Source organism: Homo sapiens, chromosome 1, assembly GCF_000001405.40.
Source record: "Homo sapiens chromosome 1, GRCh38.p14 Primary Assembly".
Taxonomy (NCBI): Eukaryota; Metazoa; Chordata; class Mammalia; order Primates; family Hominidae; genus Homo; species Homo sapiens.
Window position 1 is genome coordinate 78,689,896 of NC_000001.11, and position 3,652 is coordinate 78,693,547.

Consider the following 3,652-nt stretch of genomic DNA (forward strand, 5'->3'; position numbering starts at 1 on the left):
TTGTTCTAACAATGTATTTGAAGAAAGAACAAAAGTGAAAATGTTATAAAATTTAAAAACTGGTGTTGTGTAGCCCACATAATGACTATTCCTAATATGAATCTTCTCCACTTGTGTAATACCTTTTATGGAAAATGAATATATACCATGTTGCATTAAACATCAGTAAAATATCTGTGTCAGATAGACCGGCAATAATGGTGGGGTGGAAAGATCATATTATTTATTATAGACCAGGCATGGCGAAGTGTTTCTATCAGGGCTGCTATCAGCTGTATTGTGTCCCCTCAAAATTTATGTTGAAGCCCTAACGTCCCATGTGACTATATTGGACATAGGGCTTTTAAGGAGGCAATTATGGTTAAACAAAGTCATAAGGGCCCTGATTCAATAGAACTCATGTCCTTAAAAGAAGATGAAGAGATATCAGTGTGCTCTCTCTCTCTCTGCCATGTGACCACACAGCAAGAAGGAGGCTCTCTACAAGCCAGGGAGGGAGTGTCCACCCTGGACAACATGACCATGTTGTCACCCTGCACAATATCTGCATAAAGGCCCAGGTAATAAATATTTTAGACTTATGTACATGACAGCATTGCGAGACTCATTCTGGAAAACCTCTCTAAGGAGTTGACAGTTGGTTGAGAAATCAATCACGAGCGGAACCAGTTACCCAAAATTCAAGGTGTTCTTGGCAGAGTACACAGCAAGTGCAAAGGCTTTGAGGTGTGGAAGTGGCGTTCAGCTTGTGGGGGCAGTGAGGTGCTCAGGACAATGATAGGGCCAGTGTGTCTGGTGTAGAGTGTGAGTGAGACAGATGAGATATGGAAGGAGAATGAGTACAGGGAGGTCATGATGAAGACACAGAAAGGAATGTGGATTTTATCATAAGGATTATCAGAAGATTTTGGAGTGTGTGTGTGTATAGGTAACTTTATATTTATTTGGGACATTTTGAAGCCTGAAAGTAACTTGATCTGACTTATTTTTTTTTCTTTTTCTTTCTTTCTTTTTTTTTTTTTTTAATAATTTTGTCTACTAAATGGAAACTGGGAGCTCTGGTAGGAGGCAATTGCAAACCTGAAACACTGATGCTGGAAGGAGTAGGTAGATTTCAGATATTATTTAGATGCTAAATCATCAAGTCTTGTTGATGGATTACAAGTGGAAGGCAAGGGAAAGAGAGGAATAAAACATTGTGTTTTGATTTCAACAACTATAATAAGGGTGGTGTATTTCAAATGGGAAAAATAGGCAAGGAATAGTGTTTTTTTTTTTCTGATGAGAAGGCAGTGAAAGTTTATTCTGGACATGTTGTGGAATTAATGAGTAGGCAGTTATATGTACAAGTCCACATGTCAGTAGAGAATGTGGGTTGTAGTGTGGTCAGCAGCATAGAGATGGATGAAAAGCTATGGGACTATATGGGAGCCCCCAAGGAAGGAATGAGCAGAGAAAAGAAAAGGAGGGACTTGTAGAAGCTGAGTGATGAAGGAGGAGCCATCAAAGGGCACCAAGAAGAAGCTGTCAGTGAGTCTGGAAGAACCCTTACAACAGAATAGCATACAATATGAAAGTGAAGAGCAGAGAGGATTTCAAGAAGGAAAAAGAGCCCAATTGCTTTGGATGCTGCTGAGAGGTTATGAAAGATGAGGACAGAGTGGTGATCACTGGATTTGGCAGTGGAGGTTGTTGGTGGACTTGACTAGAGTAGTTTCTCTGAAAGAAGGGGATGAAAGCCCTAATGAGCAGTGTTGAGAAGAGAATGAGTGTATGGATTTGGAGGTGAAGAAAGAAAATAGGATGAACATTGAACTTGTCTGATAAGCCTGAGATCGAAGGTGATCTCTACCACTTAGTAACTGAACGATCTGGAAAAAAAAGCACGTAATTTCTTTGAATTTCATCTTGCTTCTCTGTAAATTGTAAATAAAATGCCACACATAAGTGGTGTTATGAGGATTAAATGAGATAACATAAGTATCTTAGTTCATTTGTGCTGCTATAAGAAAATACTGTAGACTGGGCAGTCCACAAAATCAAATTTATTTCCCACAGTTCTGAGGACTGGGAAGTCCAAGACCAGGGAGTTGGCAGATTTTGCATCTGGTGGGGGCTGCTCTTTGATTCCAAGATGGTGCCTTGTTGCTGCATCCTCCAGAGGGGAGAAATGCTGTGTTGAAACGAATGGAATGTGCAAAAAGGGGCAAACTTCCTCCATCAAGTGCTTTTCTAAGGGCACCTAATCCCATTCATGAAGGTAGAGTCATTATGACTCAATCACTGCCTAAAGGTCAGACCTCTTAATACTATTGCACTGGGGATTAAGTTTCAACATTTTCAACATGAATTTTGGAGGGGATACCATCATTCAAACCACAGCAGTAGGTTAAGTACACAATGCACATAATAGGCACTGTACAAGTGTCATTTCCCTTTTCCTCTCATATTCTATTTACCACTCTCCAGGTAATGAATATTTCCAAAGTGCCACAGGTGGCCTTTGCATTTGCCAGAAAACTCTAGCACTGAGTACAAAAACAGCAAACAAAACAAAACAAACCAACCAACAAAAAACAGCCAAACAAAAAAACGACTTTGCTGCTCGAGTTTCCTTATCTGTGCATCATGTGCAATAAGCATCATCATTATTCATCCCTGGGTACCACACACATGGGTGAGTAAGAGGACAGTCACAACACAGTCATAAAAAGTCTTTGGGCTCTATCAAAAAGATCTGATGTAAGGTTTTTCACAACTAAGGCATACATTTGTACAGATTGAGTGACAATAGAACATGTAGAAGCCGAGGATGATGCACTTTTATTCAGTAAAGCAAGACTGGCATTGTCAAGTGGGTCCTGAGAAGTTCTAGGAACCTTGTGGTATGTTGCCATTTAATTGCATTGCACATGGACATAAAATAATTTAATGGCATTGCACATGCAATAGAAAAACAGATTGAGAGAAGCCAGTGAATGGCCTTGCCTGAGTCTTCCACAGGGTTGCTTTTCCAGGAGATTCTATTACATAGCAGACCACATTGGTGCCTACAATGAAAGGAAAATGAGTTATTCCAGTGGAGGAACTTGCCAAAGTCAATTTACCTTCTTTTAAGCATGTCTCCTTATTTCTCTTTTTTCCCACTCCTGCACCTGCTACTAAGAAAAAAACATTCTCTTTAAGCTTTATAATTAAAAAATACTTTACTGATTAAAATATTTGTTTATGTAATAACAATAATAATAACTAATTACATCCTGCCTGATGAGTTGTATATCACGTTTCAGCCAAGTAGGACTCGAAGCAGCTGAGCTATTAAATCCTGACAAGTGATAATGGAAAAGACTGCTCAGCCTTAACTATAGTGATGCTACCAGCAGTGCTATAATCATAATTTCCTCTTTCATTAAGGACCATAATTTGCCATTGATTTTTATGTAAAACCCCATTGACTTCGATAGAAATTCCTTATGCATAGTAAAGGGAAAATATGGCCTTTGTTACTTACTTGAATGTTTCTAAAACATTTAAACTTTTTTTCTTTCTTTCTTTCTCTCTCTTTCTTTTTTTCTTCTTTTTTTGAGACAGAGTCTCACTCTGTCACCCAGGCTGGAGTGCAGTGGCACGACCTTGGCTCACTGCAACCTCC

General features: G+C 39.2%; 3 annotated features.

Moving 5' to 3' along the window:
- Positions 2,010-2,511: an enhancer, noted in NCBI's record as "NANOG hESC enhancer chr1:79157590-79158091 (GRCh37/hg19 assembly coordinates)". NCBI's record gives its function as "activates a minimal SCP1, AML or CMV promoter by ChIP-STARR-seq in naive H9 embryonic stem cells {active_cell/tissue: H9 hESC(naive)}" and the evidence as "EXISTENCE:reporter gene assay evidence [ECO:0000049][PMID:30033119]".
- Positions 2,010-3,335: a biological region, named in NCBI's record as "CDK7 strongly-dependent group 2 enhancer GRCh37_chr1:79157716-79158915".
- Positions 2,136-3,335: an enhancer, noted in NCBI's record as "CDK7 strongly-dependent group 2 enhancer chr1:79157716-79158915 (GRCh37/hg19 assembly coordinates)". NCBI's record gives its function as "activates an origin of replication core promoter dependent on BRD2, BRD4, P300/CBP, MED14 and CDK7 cofactors, with strong dependence on CDK7, by STARR-seq in HCT116 cells {active_cell/tissue: HCT116}" and the evidence as "EXISTENCE:reporter gene assay evidence [ECO:0000049][PMID:35650434]".